This window comes from Homo sapiens, chromosome 5, assembly GCF_000001405.40.
Source record: "Homo sapiens chromosome 5, GRCh38.p14 Primary Assembly".
In the NCBI taxonomy this organism is placed as follows: Eukaryota; Metazoa; Chordata; class Mammalia; order Primates; family Hominidae; genus Homo; species Homo sapiens.
In genome coordinates, this window is record NC_000005.10 from 17,272,443 (window position 1) to 17,297,075 (window position 24,633).

At 42.7% G+C, this 24,633-nt stretch overlaps 1 protein-coding gene across 2 annotated transcripts in view, besides 1 other annotated feature; it reads left to right on the forward strand.

Moving 5' to 3' along the window:
* BASP1 (brain abundant membrane attached signal protein 1) overlaps positions 1-4,392 on the forward strand; it is a 60,012-nt gene extending 55,620 nt beyond the window's left edge. For both annotated transcript variants that reach the window (NM_001271606.2, NM_006317.5), the window contains exon 2: positions 2,766-4,392. In NM_001271606.2, the coding sequence (NP_001258535.1) occupies positions 2,775-3,458 (684 nt within the window). In that variant the 5' untranslated portion in view covers positions 2,766-2,774 and the 3' untranslated portion in view covers positions 3,459-4,392. The remainder of the gene's footprint in view (positions 1-2,765) is intronic.
* Positions 3,192-3,692: an enhancer, noted in NCBI's record as "H3K27ac hESC enhancer chr5:17275743-17276243 (GRCh37/hg19 assembly coordinates)". NCBI's record gives its function as "activates a minimal SCP1, AML or CMV promoter by ChIP-STARR-seq in primed H9 embryonic stem cells {active_cell/tissue: H9 hESC(primed)}" and the evidence as "EXISTENCE:reporter gene assay evidence [ECO:0000049][PMID:30033119]".
* Positions 4,393-24,633: the final 20,241 nt, after the last annotated feature.

Below are 24,633 nucleotides of genomic sequence, written 5' to 3' on the forward strand. Positions count from 1 at the left end.
AAAAGGAGAATGTGAATGGCATACTACCCCATGGTGCTGTTGAGATTACATATTTTATGTAATATATTTATGAGTAGGATTGTGCTTGATACCTAGGAAACAGTTAATAGATGTTGTAGGCAAGGTCTTCACGCATATGGTCTTGGGAAATAATGAGACAATCCTGCTTTTCGAGGGTTCAGGTGGGTCCTATGAGCGTCCCTCTGATACCTCAATATAACCAGTAGAGGTAAATTAGCAAAATGCCAGGGGCGTTTGTTAACTTTGTTTGAAAAACAAACTGGATTGAGACATATTTTCTTACTTATAACTTGATTACGTGTGTTCATTTTCGACCCAGAAACAAATCGCAGCTGGGCATAAAACAAAGAATAGAATGTGGCCTTAACTATGTGTCAGAAAAGCCAGTTTTAGTAACTCAGATTTTAGGTTTGTAACCCAACATGACTTTAAACCTCTGGGGATTGCTGTATAGAATTTCATGCTGTGGGTGTCAGAAAGCAGCACCCCATGTTATACTTACTGGACCCCCTATGTTTGCACTTTATCTTAGTGTCTGTAATTTCTAAGTTGGTGTATGGGTTTCTATTACTGGATTGAGAGAAGATCCTAAAGGCAGACCTGTTAGGTTTCCTGTTTCTTATTTAGCTCAACCTAAGGGACCCAATGTATTTTGAAATATCAGAGCTGAAATTATATTTGGTATAGGCCATTCGTGCATACTGACTAGTTAAGAATTCAATGGAAGAGTTATAAACTATAATTTAAAATATTGATCCGGTTTATTTCTTTATATTTTCATGTACTGCTCTGTGATTGCTTATAGGATGAAAGTATATTTAATTGTATTTTTTGCCATGTATGTTTGTTTCTACTTTTGAGGGAGAAATAATCAAAAATTAAATCCAATAGAGCCTGTCTGAAGCAGGTTATGACCAATTGCCACCCCCTTTTCTAAAAAAAAAGGACATGTAAGAGAATCTTAGGTAACATCATAAAGACCTTTCTTGAGAATATGAATAGTATTTTAGTCAAATTTCAGTTTATTGCTTTTCTCTTCCCCCAACTACTGAAGTCATTCCAGATTAGAAATTAGCATATAGAATGGTGAGAAAAATTTTGACTGAAGAATTCATTTTCTTCCACCAAAAACTCGACTTTTAATAAGATAAATATAGGTTATTTCACTGTCATGAATCTTGATTCCAAGGAAGTAATAAACAGCAAATCCTTCTTTTCTAAATAAGGGATGTATATATTTGCAAAGCTGGCAAAGGAGTGTGTACAGTTCTGCCAGTGGACCTGACCTGGGCAAAACCAGGTGGTTCCCCCCTGCTCTTTCTAACCTCCCTTGGGGTCCAGGGCAAGGCTGATGCTCTCTCCTGGGCTTTTCTCATTTATGGGACTAACGAGGATAGTATAATGTGATTTCTGCCACGCTTCATCCAGGAAAAGCAACCATTTTCTTTGCAAAAGCAACATTTCAGTGGATTTTCACTGATGTGTGGTGACAGAAAAATGGACTTGAAGGAAAAAAAATGCACCAAGAGTCTGTTTAGCTCTGGCCATGGTTCTGGATGAAATTTATTATTTATAAATTTATAATTTATTATTTATCTGGTTTAATGCTTGGTTTTCAGAGGAGAGAATTTCAAGATTCAAATACAAATGGAGTTTCTTGTGCCAGAATGAAAGCGGCAGCCTTAAGACAGTTGTTAATGACCATTGAACGTGCATGTATAGTTTGAATTCTAACCAGGAAATTGATAATGAACAACAATTTTATGTTACTATAGAACTACTTTTTTTAAGCTGAAAATACCTTGAAATGAATTTATGTCAGACACAGCCAGCAAGAGACACTGGCTTTTTCATAACTGCCCCTGCTTGGTAAGAAGATAGACTGAATCCTGTTTACCTTACGTGTTTGAAGATGTGTTTGCTGATATAACACACACACATATGTAGCAGAGAGAGTTTGTAGTTTGAGATTATTTTCTAGAAATCTGTGATTTGTGCTTTATTACAGCTGTGCAGTTTCTCCAGAAAGCATTTTAAAATTGCAACGCCTTTCTCTAGCTCTAACCTGGGTCTAAGATGGCTGCCCCTGCCATGCTGCACATGCCTGTTCCACGCTTGGTGTTTGCATCAGACATGGGATTGCAGATGAAAAACAGATAGCGCTCCTCCTCTCCAGGGTTGACAAACTTTGCCTCTAATCACTGATTCTTTGATCTCAGCTTATTATTCCCTCAACTGGCTATGATTAGAAGCTCCACAACTGAGCTCCTTAATTTCTTTTCGTGACACATTGTTTTAAAAACTCATTTAAAATTATTGCAGAACTCACTTAATTGAGCTCCTTAATGTTTTTGATTCTTTTTAAAATTTTTAACTTTTAATTGTGTAATAACAGTGTAATATAATAATTTAACTGATTACTTGGGCGTGGTGGGTACACCTGTGGGCCCAGCTGTGTGGGAGGCTGAGGCGGGAGGATCCCCTGAGCCCAGGAGGTGGAGGCTGCAGTGAGAAGAGATCTCACCACGGCATTCCAGCCTGGGTAACATAGCGAGACCCTGTCTCAAAAATAAATACATGAATAAATTGAATTTAACTGTGCCTAACTATAGTTTACCATGCCACCCCTTTGGGGTGTGCAGTGCAGCAGGCCCAGAACCCCTTGCTTTGCAAAATGCAGCTTTTTGTGGTCCCCACACTTGCCTAGTAACCGCCGTTTTGTTTTGTTTTGTGTTTGCTTCCAGAACTCCAAGATGGGAGGCAAGCTCAGCAAGAAGAAGAAGGGCTACAATGTGAACGACGAGAAAGCCAAGGAGAAAGACAAGAAGGCCGAGGGCGCGGCGACGGAAGAGGAGGGGACCCCGAAGGAGAGTGAGCCCCAGGCGGCCGCAGAGCCCGCCGAGGCCAAGGAGGGCAAGGAGAAGCCCGACCAGGACGCCGAGGGCAAGGCCGAGGAGAAGGAGGGCGAGAAGGACGCGGCGGCTGCCAAGGAGGAGGCCCCGAAGGCGGAGCCCGAGAAGACGGAGGGCGCGGCAGAGGCCAAGGCTGAGCCCCCGAAGGCGCCCGAGCAGGAGCAGGCGGCCCCCGGCCCCGCTGCGGGCGGCGAGGCCCCCAAAGCTGCTGAGGCCGCCGCGGCCCCGGCCGAGAGCGCGGCCCCTGCCGCCGGGGAGGAGCCCAGCAAGGAGGAAGGGGAACCCAAAAAGACTGAGGCGCCCGCAGCTCCTGCCGCCCAGGAGACCAAAAGTGACGGGGCCCCAGCTTCAGACTCAAAACCCGGCAGCTCGGAGGCTGCCCCCTCTTCCAAGGAGACCCCCGCAGCCACGGAAGCGCCTAGTTCCACACCCAAGGCCCAGGGCCCCGCAGCCTCTGCAGAAGAGCCCAAGCCGGTGGAGGCCCCGGCAGCTAATTCCGACCAAACCGTAACCGTGAAAGAGTGACAAGGACAGCCTATAGGAAAAACAATACCACTTAAAACAATCTCCTCTCTCTCTCTCTCTCTCTCTCTCTATCTCTCTCTCTATCTCCTCTCTCTCTCTCCTCTCCTATCTCTCCTCTCTCTCTCTCCTATACTAACTTGTTTCAAATTGGAAGTAATGATATGTATTGCCCAAGGAAAAATACAGGATGTTGTCCCATCAAGGGAGGGAGGGGGTGGGAGAATCCAAATAGTATTTTTGTGGGGAAATATCTAATATACCTTCAGTCAACTTTACCAAGAAGTCCTGGATTTCCAAGATCCGCGTCTGAAAGTGCAGTACATCGTTTGTACCTGAAACTGCCGCCACATGCACTCCTCCACCGCTGAGAGTTGAATAGCTTTTCTTCTGCAATGGGAGTTGGGAGTGATGCGTTTGATTCTGCCCACAGGGCCTGTGCCAAGGCAATCAGATCTTTATGAGAGCAGTATTTTCTGTGTTTTCTTTTTAATTTACAGCCTTTCTTATTTTGATATTTTTTTAATGTTGTGGATGAATGCCAGCTTTCAGACAGAGCCCACTTAGCTTGTCCACATGGATCTCAATGCCAATCCTCCATTCTTCCTCTCCAGATATTTTTGGGAGTGACAAACATTCTCTCATCCTACTTAGCCTACCTAGATTTCTCATGACGAGTTAATGCATGTCCGTGGTTGGGTGCACCTGTAGTTCTGTTTATTGGTCAGTGGAAATGAAAAAAAAAAAAAAAAAAAGTCTGCGTTCATTGCAGTTCCAGTTTCTCTTCCATTCTGTGTCACAGACACCAACACACCACTCATTGGAAAATGGAAAAAAAAAACAAAAAAAAAACAAAAAAATGTACAATGGATGCATTGAAATTATATGTAATTGTATAAATGGTGCAACAGTAATAAAGTTAAACAATTAAAAAGAAGTAATAAAGACTATTGGGTTTTTTGTTCTGTTTGTTTTACTTTTCTAGTCCCCTTCAATAACTACTTTATCAGAGAACAGAGCACTGTATTGGCCATTTTTCTGAATATATTTGGATAGAAGTAAAAAAATAGACCAGGGACGGTGGATCACGCCTGTAATCCCAGCACTTTTGGAGGCCGAGGCAGGTGGATGGCTTGAGCCCAAGAGTTGAGGACCAGCCTGAGTAAGATAGTGAGACCCCACCTCTATTTAAAAAAAAAAAAATGCCAACATTATTTGTTGAAAAAAATAGCTAGGGCAATGTCAGTAAACTATCTCAGAAGAAGTTAAACTGAAAACTTACTGCATCTATGCATATGCACCCTCTGAAAATGTAACTAATTAAGAAGAAGAAAGATTTTGAATAAAACACGTTAAAAGACAATAAATAGATTTGATCTTGAAGGCTGGGGAAAAAATGAATGACAGGATCTTATAGAAACCTGTGTTTGTAAATTGTGGCACCACTAATGGTTATTCTGTTCTATCCCATCCCCTATTTTTATTTTTATCATATTCATGGTAGAGCCAGGAAAGGCCACCTGAGAATTGTGCTATGAGACAGCAGTGATGCGGAAGCAAGCATGGAGCCGGCCTTTATGGTGACCGGATTTCGGTCCTGATTTTGCCACTAGTGACTTGGATGGGTTTTAAGTCACTTCCAACCTTCCCAGACCTTCCTTGCTTTACTTACAAAAGGGTGTAGCCTTTATGATCTCTGAGGCAAGGTCCCATTTAATGGTTTGGGTACATACCCGGTGACAATTTAATGTCACGATGCATAGGTATGCACAGACTGATGGGATGTCTCTTCCATGTCTTGATTCTCCAAAACTCACAGAGTAATGAATAACAATTTCATAGTTTAGAAAACTCCGACATAGGAAATGTCCTGTGGAATGTGTGAAGGCCAGTGTAATGGAATTGATTCTCAAAGGGACATTAATGACACAATGGATTCAGACGAACCTGGTTCCATTCTTACGGGTTACATTACACATGGTTAAATAAAAAAGGGAAAAAAATCTTTGAGTATTTTGGGAGTAGCCTATAGTCTGTCTCTTACCTCATTGGGAAAGAAAAAGTGGTGAAAGTGAGGATTATGTAAGTATTATACCCGTTGGGTTCAACTGGTATTTATGATCATTTTTTGGCACTTTGGGTTCTTGTTTCTATAGTGAGATAAATTTGAATTCTTAATGCTTGAAAGCACAGCATACAAGAAATCTGTAAACACAGTAACCACCAGGCAACTGTTTTACATAAGGAAAAAGAAGGGGAATGTCCAGGTAATTACCCGCGTGTCCTCGCATATACAAAATAGCTTGGGGGCCGGTGATGGTGATGGAGTGGTAAAAGATTCAGTGAACCATGGAGGACATTTATATAGTTACTGATTAAATGCCATGCATTTATTGCAGAAAAATATGCTTGGTGGAAGTAATATTTTATATATTCACTGTCTTCCCCACTTCCCCTTCTTCTAATAAAAAAAATGCTAAGCTTTTTGGTAATTAGAACAATCAAATCAGCCTCCCAGATTAGCATTTATTACTACAAATTGCCATTTTTTGAATAAATGAAACTGAGACATTTTTCTGAATTTATTTGGAGTTGCAGAGTAGGAGAATTAAAATCTGAGCTATATATATTTATTTTTCTTTTTTATAACTCCATTAGGTGTTGAAGCAACTAAAAAGTGTTAGAAATATAGTCACCAAAATGTTTAAATCAGAATTTTAACCTAGCCATGGTTCATGACATTGAATTTTACCATACTGAAGAAAAAAACTTGAGCTGTAGTTTGAAGTTGTATATGCAGCAGAAAATGTAGTACGTGTGGGAGTAATTGGCTCAGCCAGGAAGGGAACAATGTTGGGCCATGTTAATTTGGATTAACCTAGATTGTTCTTGCCTCATGAATGATTTAAAATGAAGAGAAGGGACTGCACAGCCTGTGCTGAACAGGCAAGTCAGAACCATCGGGGAACTTACCGCATATTTGCTTCACTAACTTAGGCATGTCCCTCTCCTCTATGAAGAATGAAGTGTTCCAGGGTCTAACGTTCATTTACTGGGTGCCTTTGTGCGTACTGCAAGGAGGAAACTATGAGGAATCCAGAGGAACTTGTACAGGGATGCCAGGCTTGTCCCTCCACTTTGAAGATTCTTTTCCGTAGCTGATGCCGCCTCTGCATGATGGGAATGGACTCTGGTCCCCAAGAGCTGGCATGTGCCATGCATCCCAGGATGGCCCTTCCTGGTCTCAACCCTGAGAGAAGGCCATCTTCAGTCTGTTCCTGGCAATATGGAGGCAGAGGTGGTACTGGCACTCCCGGAATGTCATTCCCCAGTCTTGGAGAATCTTCTTTCTCTCTGGAATCAAGACGTAGGTCTAGTGGACAGTAAGGACTTGGTTGTCAACTACTTGCGCTGACAAGACCTAGACATACTTTAGCTGGGTAACTTCTTTACCTAAGTTGGGTAAATCATTAGGTACCAGCATAGCCAAGAGTACTTACTGCATTGCTAACAGGAAGTTTGTTTTCGTAAAGCATCCTGGGACTTTAATTTTCCTTGAATGAAACATCATGGTATAACAAAACACAGTATCTTCACTGAAACAGGCACATACTAGTTAGTGTCCATGATCAGAGCTAACTATAGGACACCGATCTTAAGTGTTCTTTCATAGATAGGAGGCATATACATATCCAGCAAATTTCAGTCAGGTTTCATCTATGAAAAAAACTCATTTATGAAATTTCCTATTTTGGTGTTTTCCGGTTTCTTGTCTCAAGATTGATGGGATTAATCTCCATCCTTTTGATTTCTATTCTGCTATTTGGGAAGGTAACTGGAGTTATTTTGAGCTTTGTTTTAGCTAATTTGCATAATAATGAAAACTGGATGCTCAGGAGGTAATCTTAAAAATGTACCAAATGGCAGTACCACTAGTAGTTGTGAGATTAATCAGGTGAGCTTTTACATTTATCCTCATAAAAGGAGGCACAATTTGCTTGATTTGTAACTGACACTGATTTGGTTTACTAAGTAGTTAATATTTTAAATATTTAGCTCAGAGAGTGCTATTTGGCCAGAGTGTCATGTATTTTCTCAATGCTATCTCCTCACAGAAAAATTAAAAGGGCAATGTAGGGAGTTTTTCATGAAGCTATATTTCTTTGATTTTTTTATAAATGCTATCTCTTACCATGATTCTATATGCTTTCTACTGTTTCTTTTTGTTTGTTTGTTTTTAAATTTTTTTTTAGAGAGTCTCACTGTCACTCAGGCTAGAGTGAAGTGGTGCAATCATAGTTCACTGCAGCCTCAAACTCCTGGACTCAAGCGATCCTCTTGCTTTAGCATTCTGAGTGGCTAGGACTGCAAGCAAGCACCACCAGGCCCAGCTAATTTTTTTCTTTTTTTTTTTTTGTAGAAACTGGGGTCTCACTATGTTGTCCAGACTGGTCTCCAACTCCTGGGCTCAAGTGATCCTTCCCAAAGTGTTGTAATTACAGGCCTGAGCCACCATGCCCAGCCTCAATCTTTTTAAGGACAAAATTTATTAGTAGTATATAAAATCTCAAAGTCCAGGGAATCATGGATTTGGTACATTTCTCCAAGTTTCCTCAGTCTTCATTTTATTAAAAGCATTATTCATTCTGAAGCTATATGCTTCCATTCACATACATATTTAAGGAAATTCCTGAGGGAAATAACTTTGAAAAAGAACTACAATCATAAAAAAAAAAAAAATAGTGCAACTGTACACACTGAAATAAATAAACCAAGTAAAAATCTCATACCTATCTCCTTATCTCTTTTTATTATTTTTTAAATTTTTATTTATTTATTTAAGACGGAGTCTTAAACTCTTTCACCCAGGTTGGAGTGCAGTGGCAAAATCTGGGCACACTGCAACCTCCTCCCAGGCTCAAGTGATCCTCCAGTTACTCAGCCTCCTGAGTAACTGGGACTGCAGGTGCATGCCAACACTCCCGTTTAATTTTGTGTATAATATTTTTGGTAGAGACAGGTTTTTGCCATGTTGCTCAGGCTGGTCTGAAAGTTTTAAGCTCAGGTGCTCTGCCCACCTTGGCCTCCCAAAGTGTTGGGATTACAGGCATGAGTCACCATGCCTGGCCCTATCTTTTTATCTCATGTGCACTTGATTTCCATTTTTTCCTAAGGTCCATATGTCACATTTATTTTTCATTTTGTTGTCTTTGAAGGTAATTTTATATTTTCCCTGAGTTTCCCTCTGGGTCCGGGAAAATTTGTCATTAATACCATTCATTTATAATTTAATGGCTTTGTATAATGTACCCATTCCTTTTATTGCAACTCCTTGAGGTCAATGTGTTAAAATGTTAAATGGAAAAATGATGGGTTAATAACTACTTATTTAGAATCATCTAGAGAACACATGAACTTGCTTTGTTTTGTTTTGTTTTCATTTTTATTGCTTATATAGTCCAGGATTTAAGAGACTAAAATGGTCTCAATAAAAATGTTGTCTTGGGGAATTCTCATCTTAAATATAATTTTTACATATATTTCATGAATTCTGAATCAGAGTTTCAGATAATAAAAACAAAACATTGGTAGTCTTCAGGCTTCCCCGAATATCTGGGTATAGAAACTTATACCAAAGCTTAAAAATAAATATATTTTGGCCCAGACGCGGTGGCTCATGACTGTATCCCACGATTTTGGGAGGCCAAGGTGGGCAGATCACTTGAGGCCAGGAGTTCGAGACCAGCCTGGCCAATATGGCGAAACCCTGTCTCTACTAAAAATACAAAAATTACCTGGCCATGGTGGTGCACACATGTAATTCCAGCTACTGTGGAGGCTGAGGCAGGAGAATCACTTGAGATTCTTGGGGTGGAGGCTGCAGTGAGCTGAGATCGTGCCACTGCACTCCAGCCTGGGCAACGGGATGAGACTGTCTAAAAATAAAAATATACATATATACACACATACACACACACACACACACACATACACACATACACATATATAAATCATTTAGAGAGCACTTTATATATATGTATAGTTTGTAAAACTTACATATATATTTTGATAAAAAAAGAATGATCTTACAGACTGAGTTCCAAACACTAGAGGCTTATTATTGGTGATCTCACTGTCTTTTGGCTTTTTAAGCTATGAATTTATTAAAGTAGAAAATATGTTTGAATAGGCAACAAAGATTCTTGCCTTGTAATTGAATGAATTAATCTTTAATGTTGATTTGTTGTATTTAAAAGCCACACACCTGAAAGTCAGGCACATCACATAATTACTCAAAGAAAAACAGGCCCCTGTTTTACCTTGAGGAAGATTGGTTGACTTGTCACATGCTTTTGTTAACAAAAAAAGTGGGGAAAAAAAAATCCCCCCAGCCCTTCCTCTAAAAAGAAAGCAATCCTCTTAATGCAGGAGAAAGACTGCATTTCAGTACCTCAGAAACAAACCAGTTTTGAGTTTTGTCGTGAAAAGAGATGACACATGTAATTACAAGAGCCTTTTACACAGGTTGGGAGATTTGATTTGACAGTCGAACCCCATTAAAAGAAATGACTCTAAGGTCCTAAAGCAGCAGTGAACAATTTCCGTCCCACTCTGCCTCAGCACAGACATCTAAGAATAGACAAACTCTCAGCCGGAACCACCCACTGCGGGGCACCCAAGTCTGCCTAGTATGCAAATTCCCCAGAGGGTAGAGTTTTTCTTTTCTTTCTGTTTCTTTCTTTCTTTCTTTCAATTTTAAGAGCTGAAAATAATAGTTACCTTCTCTTTCAGGAGCTGAAATTGCCTTGACATTCAGAGCAAAACCTACCTTTACAAAATAAAACACACACACACACACACACTATAGTAGAAATGACAAAATCAAAATCAATTAAATAGAAGACAAGCCTAATTAGAATGAATCAGAAAGAGTTGCTTACATTTGGGCTGCTAATTAGAACTTCATAATAACTTTTTTGTCTTTTGTTTATTTCCTCCCTTCCTTATTCTCTTTCCTCTACATTTTGTCTTTCCCATCAAGTTCCCTACTTCCTCTTTTTTTGTTGTTGTTCAAGTACGTAACTTCCATTGTGATAGTTTCACTCTTTACCTACTTCCTTCCTTCCTTCTTTCCTTCCTTCCTTCCTTCTTTCCTTCCTTCCTCTCTCCCTCCCTCCCTTCCTTCCTTCCTTCCTTCCTTCCTTCCTTCCTTCCTTCCTTCCTTCCTTCCTTCCACTGACTGCACTCTGAGGCAAACACTTACATTGGGCCAGAGCTTGCTGGTTTTTCGGACTGCATAACCCTCATTCTTCATTTGTTCGGGAAGAACAAATATAATTTACTTGGAACTTTACTCATCTTACTCCTCCACTTCCCCCTGCCCCTCATTTATCTATAAGAATAATAAAGATTAAGAGAGACCATGTTCAGGAGTCAAGGTAATTTGAAATAGTCCTTGATGTACAGTGCTTATTAAAAGAGAATCTTGAAGATTCTACAACTAGAGCTCTGTTTCAGAAAACAAGGCATCAGTTCCTAAATGTCATACAAATTGACTACATAAGAATTTTCTTGGATGTCTAAATAAAGAGATCCCAGCCCCTAAGCTGTGATCCTGATTCAGTAGTTTTTTTTTTTTTTTGAGAGAGAGAGTCTTGCTCTGTTGCCCAGGCTGGAGTGCAGTGGTGCAATCTTGGCTCACTACAGCCTCCACCTCCTGGGTTCAAGCAATTCTCTGCTCAGCCTCCCAAGTAGCTGGGACTACAGGCGTGTGCCACCACATCTGGCTAATTTTTGTATTTTTAGTAGAGATGAGGTTTCACCATGTTGGTCAGGCTGGTCTCGAACTCCTGGCCTCAGGTGATCCACCTGCCTCGTCCTCCCAAAGTGCTGTTAGAGGCATGAGCCACTGTGCCTGGCCTGATTCAGTAGTTCTTAAGGAAGGTAGAGGGGCAGGGCAAGAGTTTCGTGAAGCTCCTCTTTGGGAATCTACTGGGATAGAGTGACTCACAAGATTTGAACAAAGAAGCTTGGACTAGAATGAGGGTTTGGTGGATCATTCTTTGATTTTAAGTTTACCTCATTAGAAAAAAAGATGGTAATAATAACAACAGAGTTGCTGTGAAGATTTTCAATAAGACCTGGAAGTGACTGCTTGTGATATACACTCAGTGAACCACAGCTATTCCAATGGAGGCTTCAGTTCAAAAAAAAAAAGCTGGGTTCATAAGCTCTGGCCTGTCTGTCTACTTCAATTGAGAAGGAATTTCTTAAGGTTTCCTTGGAAATAGAGTCACAACGACCACAGAATTGAGATCTGAATTGTCCTACAGAGAACAACCCCTCTTTGTAGGAGAAAAAGAAAACACAAATGTATGGCAATCTTTTTAGGGGAAAAGGGGGAGTCAAAATCCAAGATGGTTTTCCTGAGAATATTCAAATTAGATTATGGAGATAACAAGATGTGAACCAAGGAAAAAGAACGAATTGCCTTTATGCATGGGAGGTGAAGTAGCTGGAATCCCACCTTCATATCTTAGTTACCTCTGTAACCTGGGGACAGATTTCTTCTCAGAACCTCTGTTTACTCAAGAACTGGAGAGGCCGGGCTCAGTGGCTCACACCTGTAATCCCAGCACTATGAGAGGCTGAGGCGGGCGGATCACTTGAGGTCAGGAGTTCGAGACCAGCCTGGCCAACATGGTGAAACCCTGTCTTTACTAAAAATACAAAAATTAGCTGGACGCGGTGGCATAAGCCTGTAATCCCAGTTATTCGGGAGGCTGAGGCAGGAGAATCGCTGAACCTGGGAGACGGAGGTTGTAGTGAGCCGAGATCACGCCACTGCACTCCAGCCTGTGTGACAGAGTGAGACTCCGTCTCAAAAAAAAAAAAAAAAAAAAAAAAGAACTGGAGAATATATCTGCCTTGGGGGCTGTGGAGAGGATAGAAGGCTGTGTTTAGCGCACAGCCTAGTACACGAGCATTTGTTAAGTGGATGCAAGACCATGACGTTCATTTCCTTCTGAAACAAGTGAGCAATCATGAGTGAGGCAATCTCATCTTTTCCCTCACCATTTTTTATGAGCAATTTCTCTTAAAGGAAAATTCTGATGTTACGGATTAACTCTGGTTTAGTTTTTATTCATTCTGTATATATAACACTTTCCCATATGTCACCTCTCCTAGTGTGTTCTACATTGCTTCATTCATTCATTAACCAAATATTTATTAAGCAGCTGCTATCTTCCAGGCACTATATTCCCACAAATGCTAGGAATATGTTGAGCCTAAAAACAGAGCTGGCCAGGCTCAGTGGCTCATGCCTGTAATCCCAGCATTTTGGGAGGCTAAAGTAGGAAGAGCCCTTAAGTCCAGGAGTTCAAGACCAGCTGGGGCAACACAGTGAGACCCCATCTCTATTTAAAACACAAAAAGCAAAAACAGAGCTCATGAGGGAGATGCAGATTAAAACCACAATGAGATATCACCTCTCACCTGTCAGCATGGCTATTATTAGAGAGACAAAAGATAACAAATGTTAATGAGAATGTGGAGGAAGGGAACTCTTGTACACTGCTTGTGGGAGTATAAATTAATACAGCCATTATGGAAAATTGCATGGAGGTTTCTCAAAAAACTAAAAATAAAATTACCATATAATCCAGCAATCCCACTTCTGGGTAGTTACCCACAAAATTTGAAATCAGCGTGTTGAAGAGAAGTCTGTATGCCCATGTTCATTGTAGCACTAGTCACAATAGCCAAGATACGGAATCAACCTAAGGGTCCATCAGTGGATGACTGAATGAATAAAGAAAATGTGGCAGGCCAGGTGCAGGGGCTCACGCCTATAATCCTAGCACTTTGGGCAGATTGCTTGAGCTCAGGAGTTTGAGACCAGCCTGGGCGACATGGCACAACCCCGTCTCTACAAAAAATGCAAAAAACTTAGCTGCGTGTGGTGGTGCATGCCTGTGGTCCTAGCTACTTGGGGAGCTGAGGTGGGAGGATGACTTGAGCCCGGGAGGTGGAGGTTGCAGTGAACTGAGATCATGCCACTGCAGTGGAAAAAAAAAAGTGAGACCCTATCTCAAAAAAAAAAAAAAAAGGAAAGAAAAAGAAAATATGGCATACATATATATAATGGAATACTAGTCAGCCTTATAAAAGGAAGAAGTTCCATCATTTGTGATGATATGGATGGAATTGGAGAACATTATGCTAAGTGGAATAAGCAAAACGCAGAAAGACAAACACCACGTGCTCTCACTTAAACTAAAACAACTGATCTCAGAAGCAGAGAGTAGAACAATGGTGATCAGAGACTAGCCGGTGGGGGGAACAGGGAGATGATAATCAATGGATACAAAGCCTCACTTAGGCAGAAGGAATGAGTTTGATTTTTGTTTAGATCTATTGCATAGCATGGTGACTATCCCTAACAACTGAGTACTGCACATTTCCATTCGTTAAAAGAGTAAATCTCAGATGCTCTCATCACAAAAAAATAGGTCAAATATTGGAAGTGATGGATAAGTTAAGTCACTAATTAATAATTTCATATTATATTAAAAAATCATAACATTGTTTTGTACTCAGTAAATATATACAACTATAATTTGTCTATTAAAAGTCCCCAGAGCCCACAACTTTCACTTCAACTCTGGACTCCAAAACATCACTTGCCTCTTGGCCGCTGCCCTTGGACGACCCACAGGCATCTCAGAGGTAATATATCCTGACATGAACTTCTGATTTCCCCCAGACCTTGCTCCTTCATCCTTTCAGGGTTCATCTGAGGGTAAATTCATCCTCCAGATACTCACCCCAAGTCATCAACTCCACCCTCGGTTCAGCTTTTCTTATACTTGATAGTCCACGTGTCAGGAAATGTTGACTCTACATGTCCCCCATAACTGGGATCCAACCAGTCTTGCCACCCTGGCCCAGGCCAAATGAATCTCTTATTGTTTATTTTCCTGAGAAAGAGTCTCACTCTGTCACCCAGGCTGCAGTGCAGTGGCGCCATCTTGGCTAACTGCAACCTCCGCCTCCTGGGTTCAAGCAATTCTCCTGCCTCAGCTTCTTGAGTACTTGGAATTACAGGTGTGTGCCACCACGCCCAGCTAATTTTTTTTTTTTTTTTTTAGAGTCTCACTCTGTTGCCCAGGCTGGAGTGCAGTGGCGCAGTCTCGGATCACTGCAACCTCTACCTCCCAGTTTCAAGTGATTCTCCTGCCTCAGCCTCCTGAGTAGCTGAGATTACAGGCGCATCACCATGCCCGGCTAATTTTTGTCTTTTTAGTAGAGATGAGGTTTCACCCTATTGGCCAGGCTGGTCTCGAACTGCTGACCTCGTGATCCTCCTGTCTCAGCCTCCCAAAGTGCTAGGATTACAGGCATGAGCCACTGCGCCAGGCCTTTTAAAATTTTTAATGGAGATGGGGTTTCACCATGTTGGCCAGGCTGGTCTTGAATTCCTGACCTCAGGTGATTCACCCGCCTCGGCCTCTTAAATTGCTGGGATTACAAATGTGAGCCACGGGAATCTCTTATTCCGATTATTTGCAAGAGACTTCTCACCAACTTCTCTGCTCCTACCCTTGCTACTAAAATTCAACTCTTCTCATTAGAGCAGCCAGAAGTACCTTGCTAAGGTGTAAGTGGGATCATGTCACTCCTCAGCTCAAAACCTTCAATGGGCTCCCTGTCTTGCTCAGATGGAGAGCCAAGGTCTCCACTAGATTAGACCTGGCAGAAGGAACAGTAACTCACTAGGTCCTACAGGCAGGACTGACTGCAAAAAGGGCTGGGCCTTGCTTAAACTCTTAAGAATTTCAAGAGAGCAAAGCATTCGATCCAGCACAGGACTCTGAGTGTGGGGTCCTTTGTGACTGTCCAGGTGGCACACCCATGAAGCTGGTCCTCCCTGCAAGATCTCCATGGGTTCTCCTTCCCATACCTCCCTCCGCTATCTCTGACTCCATCTTCTTCCTTTCTCTCTGCTTAACCAGGCTGGCCAGCTGACAGGTCCTCTAAGAGGAAATCAGGCACCTTGCCACTTTCTGGCCTTCGTGCTTGCTAGTCCCTCTGCCTGGAACTTTTCCAGATTCCCTCCCTCCTCTCATGACTTTGCTCCAATGTCACATTCTCACGAGGCCATCCCTGATTATCCTATTTTAAATTGCAAGCCACTGCACACCCCTTCTCACACACACACCTTGCTCTCCTCCCCATTCCCTGATTATTTCCTTTATAGTGCTAGTCATCAAGATATGAGACCTTTTTCTTAAATAATTCGTTATTCGGTCTCCTTCCATAGACTATAAACTTCAGAGGACAGTGATTTTTGTCTTTTTCATTCAATGTTACTTCCAGTGCCTAGGATGGAGTAGATTGTCAATACATCTTATTTGAAGAGATGAGTAGGTCAGTGGCAGAGGATGTAACAATTAAACAAACAATCATCCAACAATACACAATTAAACCAGAATCATGTACTGAGAAGGAAGGTAACTGTATTAGTCTGTTTCCATGCTGCTAATAAAGATATACCCAAGTCTGGGTGATTTAAACAGGAAAAAGTTTTAATGGACTTGCGGTTCCACATGGCTGGGGAGGTCTCAAAATCATGGCAGAAGGCAAGGAGCAAGTCACATCTTACATGGATGGCAGCGAGTAAAAAGAGAGCTTGTGCAGGGAAACTGCTGTTTTTAAAACCATCAGATCTCATGAAACTTATTCACTATCACGAGAACAAAATCATGGGAAAGACTCGTCTTCATGATTCAATTACCTCCCACCAGGTTCCTCCCATGACATGTGGGAATTGTGGGTGTTACAATTCAAGATGAGATTTGGGTGGGAACACAGCCAAACCATATCAGTAACCTAGTTCCACAAAAGACATAACCCCAACCAGGAGCCAGCTGGGGAGGGGGAAAGGTGTCCAGGCAGAGGGAACAGCTGGACAAAGGGCCTGTGTGCTGAGGAAACAAGGAACACTTGATGAGCTAAGAGAGGCCACAGTAGTGGGAATGCACAGACAAAAAAGCAAAGTTGGAAAAGATGAGTGTGGGCACCTGGCTGAGGTTCGAGCCAGCAGACCCTTGCAAGCCATGCAGAGGACACCGCCCTTCATCCTTGGGATGATTAGAAGTCACAGGAGGGCTGCAGACAGAAAGGGCATATGAGAGAAAAGAAAAGATTATTCTAGGTTCAGTGTAGAGAACAGATGGGGGTGGCCTCAGGGAGACTGGAGAGAAAGTTATTTGCAGACTGCTGGGTGACAGTTGCTTGGATGATAGAGGGGGCAGAAAAGATAGAGAAAACCAGGCTGTTGAGGCTTTTATTTAGGTGGTAAAAACCACAGAATTGGCTCATGCCTGTAATCCCAGCACTTTGGGAGGCTGAGGCAGGTGGATCACCTGAGGTCAGGAGTTCAAGACCAGCCTGGCCAACACGGCAAAACCCCGTCTCTGTTAAAAATACAAAAATTAGCTGGGCATAGTGGCGCGAACTTGTAATCCCAGCTATTTGGGAGGCTGAGGCAGGAGAATCGCTTGAACCTGGGAGGCGGAGGTGCAGTGAACCGAGATTGTGCCATTGCACTCCAGCCTGGGTGACAGAGCGAGACTCTGTCTCAAAAAAAAAAGAGAAAAGGCTGTTGCAAAGTGATGTCATCAGAGGCTTCAGTTAAGGCAAGGAGGTGGGAAGGATCCTCCAAAAAGAAGGTTGAGGGTAAAAAGGAGTTTGCACATGATGAGGCAGAGGTTTTGGAGGGTGGCATGGCAGCATTCAGGAGGTAAGGGCAGAACTTGGCTGAATCTGGGGCAAGGAACCATATGAAACCTTATGGATTTGCTGGTGTTGCAGCATGAAATGTTTGTTCATGGTAGTTTACCCTGGTGTTGGCTGATAGTGATGGGAGATAAGGGACATGAAGATTCGATTTCCGCAGTCCCGTGGGGGATGGCGAGCCCTGGGCCTAATGGCTAAAGGTCTCGAGTCACAAGACCTGGGGTGAGGTCCTTCTAAGCTTCTGGGTAGGGAGGTGAATTCCACCCCTGCACAACTCTGGGTCATAACTTCTTGGAGGTTGGTGCTATCTTAATGAGCGCAAAGGAGGAAGCCCTGAATTTTCTCTAAGCTGTCCCCCACTTTGTCTCCGTCCACCTAGTAGGCTGGCCCTCAAACCAAGCATGAGTGGGCGGGCGTACTTTACACTCGGGTTAGGTACTCACTGTTCTGTCACCTCAAATCTCTTTGAAGACTTGCGTGGCTTTATGCTTCTTGACCCTCCCTCTCTCATGACTAGAAGATGCTAGCAGACCCCGGGCTTGAAGCTTGGCACTGAGACTCTGGGGCAAGTTACATAACCTCTTTGTGCTTTATCTTCCTTATCTGTAAACTGGGAGTAATAATCTGGCTCAACTCACAGCGTTGTCACCAGAATCAAATGACGTAAGTGGTCTAAAGCACAGCATCTAAAACCTAGTAAGAGATCAAAGAAAAAGTGCAGCCCCATCTCTTCCCACTTCCTGGTTTGTTCCCTTGACTCTAGCTGTACGGGACACTTTCCAACCCATCGTACAATTCTCCCTGCTATGCTTTTGAACATGCCTGGAATTCCTTTCCTTCATGAGTCTCCTCTGCCTTCTCCACTTCACTACGGCTCACTGTGTGTCTATAAGTTTCTACCCATTCTACCCATTCCTGACTCAGGAGTGCTGACATGTAACTACTCCGGTGCTCCTCTGTCGCTCACTCCAGCTCCTTCCTAGCAACCATCAACTTACCAACATCGACTCATGAGCACGAGGGTCTCCTCACTAGGCTGTGCGTGACTTGTGGGCAGGGACCCTCCTCATTCTCTTATCCCCAGTACCTTGAATATTGCCTCATGCTCAGCGTTTCAAAATATCTGTTGCGATGTAAATGACTTAAGTAACAGGACTGTCTTTTCTCTCCAGATCTATTTGTCTTTTACAAGGAGACGAAAACTTTAAGTAAAAATGACTTTTGGCCAGGCTTGATGGCTCATGCTTGTAATCCCAGCACTTTGGGAGACTAAGGTGGGAGGATTGCTTGAGTTCAGGAAATTTGTGATCAACCTGAGTAACATGATGAGACCCCCGTCTCTACAAAAAATTAAAAAATTAGCCAGGCTTAGTGTCACATACCTGTAGTCCCAGCTCCTCAGGAGGCTGAGGCAGGAGAATCAATTGAGCCCAGGAGGTCAAGGCTGCAGTGAGTCGTGATCGTGCCATTGTACTTCAGCCTTGGTGACAGTGTAAGACCCTATCTCAAAAAAAAAAAAAAAGAAAAAAAAAGAAAATGACACTCAACTGTCCCATTTCAGGCAATGGTCAGGCAGAGGAGAAGGTATTTATCTGGGGAAGAATAGGGTGACTTGCTGAGAAGGGAGACATATTGGTGGGAGTCACCCTAGAATCACTAAAACTGTGTTATTTCTTATGAACACTTCTGACTCCCTCTCTTAATAAGGCCAATTTTGTATTTGGTAGCAACATAATGTGTTATCTTGTGTGAATATGTTTTAAAAATAAAATAATCTTATATTTTATAAACTTATGCAGATTATTTTCTTTGTATTATAAATTGTATTATTGAGCATGCTTATGTATAATAATGGGATTGTTTCTTTTTAGTAATTAAAAATTTTTATTCTTCATTTACACAACACATACAAAAAGAACGTTGTACTTTTTAAAAGACATTCCCATTGGTAGTGGCTTCATTTAAACTGGGAGTTTGATTTTAGGGAGACATTCTGGGCAGTTGTGCTATCTACCTAGCTTGATTGGTACTTTCTTATAAACTTGGTCTTCCGGGAAACATTTGCATCTGGCAGGGGTCTGTAATTCTCAGTGGGCTAGATTTGGTCTTGGCTGATTTTTTGAGGCCACCATTTTGTTGGTTGGTTATTTATACGTGCCCAACCACCTCACTGCCCAACCAGTGAGTTCAGGTTCACTCACACAAAGTCCTTCTGACATTAGAATCAGAATTCTTCCTGTAGATTTCCCCCATCATCTGATTCTCTGAAGCAGGTATAAATTCACACTTAGGAGAGATACCACACCAGCTATAAGCCACTCTCAAATGCAAGAGGAGGCCAAAAAGTATTGCTGTTGAATCAGACACAGCTTTGTTGTGTTGAGCCTAAAGATAGTTTTAATTTGAATTTTTCTTTTTTTTTTTTTTTTTCTTTTTTTGAGACAGAACCTCCCTTTGTTGCCCATGCTGGAGTGCAGTGGTGCGCTCTCGGCTCACTGCAGCCTCTGTCCCGGGTCCAAGCGATTCTCCTGTCTAGGCTTCCCGAGTAGCTGGGACTACAGGCATGTGGCACCGCGCCTGGCTAATTTTTGTATTTTAGTAGAGACAGGATTTCACCAGTTGGCCAGGCTGGACTTGAGCTCCTGACCTCAGGTGATCCATTTGCACCAGACTCCCAAAGTGCTGGGATTACAGGTGTGAGCCACTGTGCCTGGCCTCCTTTTTTGTCTTAGATAACGACTCCGTGTTGTTCCTTGAGATGGTTTCGGGTTTACGGGAAGAGTTAGAAGAGAGTCTTGTGTGGTGTTTGAGGACTCAGGAAGATCAGGGTTCTGGGGCGATAGTTTCTAGACACGATAGATGCCTGAAAACCAGCAGGGCCCGAAAGGAGCATACCCCTGGGGAACCAGCAACTCAAATGCAGAAACTGGTAACCCACGTGAGCACCCCATCAGCAGACAAGGTCAGAAATCAGAGATCTTTATGATTTGCGAGGCAGAACAGCCAACTACATGTGCATTTGATGTAAATGCTCAGTGCCTTCAACTTTTCCCCAGTGTATCTCTGCCTTCAGGCTTCTCCCCAGTCCTCCAGGGCTTTTCTTGAACATGTGGGCTGCCCATTGCTGCCTGCACCATTCCTCATTCCAGCTGTGTTTGTCATAATAGGTTTGCCAAATAAAAAATAATTTTTGGCTGGGTGCAGTGGTTCACACCTGTAATCCCAGTTCTTTGGGAGGCCGAGGTGGATCACCTGACATCAGGAGTTCGAGACCAGCCTGGCCAACAAGGCAAAATCCCGTCTCTACTAAAAATACAAAATGAGCTGTTCGTGGTGGCATGTGCCTGTAATCCTAGCTACTCAGGAGGCTGAGGCAAGAGAATCACTTGAACCCAGGAGGCGGAGGTTGTAGTGAGGCGAGATTACACCACTGCACTCCAGCCTGGGCAACAGAGCAAGACTCTGTCTCAAAACAAAAAACAAAAAACAAAAAAAAAGATTTTTCATCTTTTTGAGATGGGAGGGCTGGAGGGTAGAGATAGGGATTAGTGGCTTAGTATATTTACCTTCATATAATAACTGTATTTAAAGGGAACTGATGAGAACTATGATGGAGAGTTTTCTGAAATAGAAATAAATGTAATTTTCAAAAGTTCTTCATCATTACTGAGTACACTGAAGAGGCAAATGGACTAGTGTATAGCTCAGAGTATTTCTCCAACTTAATATGTATACAAATCACCTGCAGCTCTTGTTAAATTGCAGCTTCTGTAGGTTTGGATTAAGCTTTGCTTCTACAAAAGCTCCCAAGGAACATTCATGCTGCTGGTCCTTGATCCACACATTGAGTAGCAAGGTTTTAGGGGACTTCAAATTATTAATATTATTCTATGTAATTGGAAGTTACCTGCTTCTTAAAATATATGTCATAGGTATGTATCTAATTTCTTCAGGCCTGGTAATTAAAAATTATTTCTAGGGCTGGGTGCAGTGGTTCACGCTTGTAATCCCAGCACTTTGAGAGGCTGAGGCGGGTGGATCACTAGAGCCAGGAGTTCAATACCAGCCTGGCCAACACAGTGAAACATAATTTCTACCAAAACATACAAAAGTAAGCTGGGAGTGGTGGTGCACGCCTGTAGCTCCAGCTAGTCAGGAGGCTGAGGCAGGAGAATCGCTTGAACCTGGGAGGCAGAGGTTGCAGTGAGCCGAGATCGTGCCACTGCACTCCAGCCTGGGCGACAGAGTGAGATCCTGTCTCAAAAAAAAAAAAGTATTTCCAGGCTTTATACTTTGCTGTGTATATTTGAATAATGCTAGGCTTAAGTGGTGAAATGTTGAATGGATATTACTTGCCTCCAAAAAGAAAGCTAAATGACAGCTTTTGTATCTTTAGGTACTTTTAGAGTTGTTTTCTTTTTCCCAAAGAATGGTTGATAATTCCCTCTGTCTCCCTCTATTCACATAGGACTGAAATAGAAATAGGCTTAAATTAAGGCTGCACAACTTTTATTTGCTCCTAAGGGAGAACTTACAGAATGCTGGGGTATGCACGAATCTTCATCACTTTGAAAAGAGTTATATTTTCAAAGAGAATAAATTCTAATATAATCCCTGCCCTTGAAGAATAACCCAGATTCAGAGCAGAACCCACTGATTTAGATATAGAAGTTTGGATTACTGGACCTCACAAGGATGTGGCTCCATGTAAGAATGGGAAGATGGAACTGTCACTGTCCATTGCACAGACAGCCCCTGCTCAGTTCTCATCCTGTGAATCCTGCTGTATCTGCCTCTGGGAGCACTTTGTTCTCACATAAAGATTCATCTTTGCCCCCAGGATAGAGGATCATTCTTGATCTCAGAGAGTTTGAGGACCTAGGAAGCCCTAGTTCAACATTGAAGTTAATAATGGCATGGTGGGCCGGGTGCGGTGGCTCACGCCTGTAATCCCAGTACTTTGGGAGGCCGAGGTGGGTGTTTTGCTTGAGCTCAAAGTTTGAGACTGGCCTGGGCAACATGGCAAAACCCCATCTCTACAAAAAATGCACTGGGCATGGTGGTGTATGCCTGTAGTACCAGTTACTCGGGGGGCTGAGGCAGGAGAATCACTTGAACCTTGGAGGCGGAGGTTGCAGTGAGCCGAGATCTTGCCACTACACTCCAGCCTGGGCAATACAGTGAGACCCTTTCTAAAAAAAAAAAAAATTATGAGACTGTGGCCTTAGTCCTGAGGCACAGTCCACCCTTACACCCCACTTAGGGTAGGAGGATCAGAATCATATTCCAGAACATAAGCTCTCCCAAACCATGCTCCTCCAAAATGCAGGCCTCACTGAGATCTTCTCAGTCTTCTAGATTAGGAAGCTTCAACCCGTTGCCAGTGACAGAAGCCCAGCCAGCAGCCTACACAGGTTTCCCAAATTCTCTGCAGAGGCTGCCCCTGTGGAGGAATCTCTGAATTTCCCCTCTTCCTGGATCTCCTGTCCCCTTTACCTGTATAGATGATTCTGTAATTGTTATTCCATTTTTTTTTCTTTTTTTCTTTTTGAGACGGAGTCTCGCTCTGTAGCCCAGGCTGGAGTGCAACCTCTCAGCTCACTGCAACCTCTACTTCCCGGGTTCACACCATTCTCCTGCCTCAGCCTCCTGCAGAGTCTTGCTCTGTCGCCCAGGCTGGAGTGCAGTGGCATGATCTCTGCTCAGTGCAACCTCCGCCTCCTGGGTTCAAGCAATTCTCCAGCCTCAGCCTCCCGAGTAGCTGGGACTGCAGACATGCACCACCATGCCTGGCTAATTTTTTGTATTTTAGTAGAGACGGGGTTTTACCATGTTGGCCAGGATGGTCTCCACTTCCTGACCTTGTGATCCGCCCTCCTCAGCCTCCCAAACTACTGGGATTACAGGCATGAGCCACTGTACCTGGCCTGTTATTCCATCTTACACATCCTAAAATTGGGGCCATTTGTTTGGACTGGAAGAAATTTGCCAAATTCTCTGAAAAAAGGGTTTCACTGCCAGACTTGGCTCTGTCCTTGAGCTGGCAGGAGTCAGGGTGCTCTGAGATGCCCCCTCTTTAAGGTGCAGTTCTGTTTTGGAGCTCAACTCTCCCAGTCTGATCTTCCCACTGTAGTGTGTCTGACTCTGCCTGACAACATCCTGAGATGAGCCACGGGTGCGGGGGAGCAGATGTTCCTTGATGCTTCTGGTGTTCAGTGATGCTGTCACTCATTAGAAGAACTGTGTCCTAAAATTTTGAGATGAAGATGTTATTGAAAGTTTTGGGAGACTGGGCACGGTGGCTGAGCTTGTCTTCTTCACACACCATTAAACATCTCCAGAAATGATCATAGAGTACCTGTGTTTGACCATAGGCTATGTTAACTCTCTGTGAGGAAAAAAGGATTCTTTTGTGAAATACAGATATAGTCATGAAACTATCATTGGGCATTCACAGTTCATTTTACAAAAATATTTTTGGCATTTTAGACACTTTTTAGTTCCTTAAAAAAAAAGTTATGACCATTCCCATAACTCTCAGGTGGGAATCCTTCTTCTGTCAACAGTATGAAGAGGAGGTGATTAAAACATCATCTTTCATTTGATGATGCTTTACGTCTCATTATCCTGGTGCCCTTTTCTGTGGAATAATTGGGATGGGAGAAATCAATTTGAAGGCAAATTTACAATACACTGTGAACATGTGACCATCCCTACAAGTTTTCTGGTGGTGAAATTTTAGGCAGTGTAATTGTTGGATGAGAGAGATCTTTCTGGGAAGTGGACATCCTCCAGCCCCACTGCAAAGATGATTGTCTTTTTTGCCAGATGGTAAGGCTTGTCCTAAATACCTACTCCTTGGGCTGATATCACAGAGGAGATAAACTGACCTGAATATAAAATATAAAGCCTTTAAGAAAAGGCCAGAAGTGTTCTTAGGAAAATGACCTGAGATGGTTAATTTTATGTGTCAACTGGAATGGGCTAAGGGAGGCCCAGATATCTGGTAGAACATTATTTCTGGGTGTGTCTGTGGTGGTGTTTCTGGAAGAGGTTAGCATGTGAATTGGTGAACTGAGCAAAGAAGATGTCCCTCCCCAATGTGAGTGGGCACCATCCAATCCATTGAGGAGCTGGATAGAGCAAAAAGGCAGAGACGAAGGATGAGTTTGCTTCTGTTTGGGCTATACATCCATCTTCTCTTGCCTTTGGATTTGGGTCTTCTGGTTCTTAGGCATTTGGACTTGGACTGAATTATGCCACTGGCTTTCTTGGTTCTCCAACTTGCAGACAATGGATCATGGGACTTCTTGGCCAATTTCTAGAATAAATCTCTCTCTCGTTCTCTGTGCTTTTGTATCTATATCTATATGTA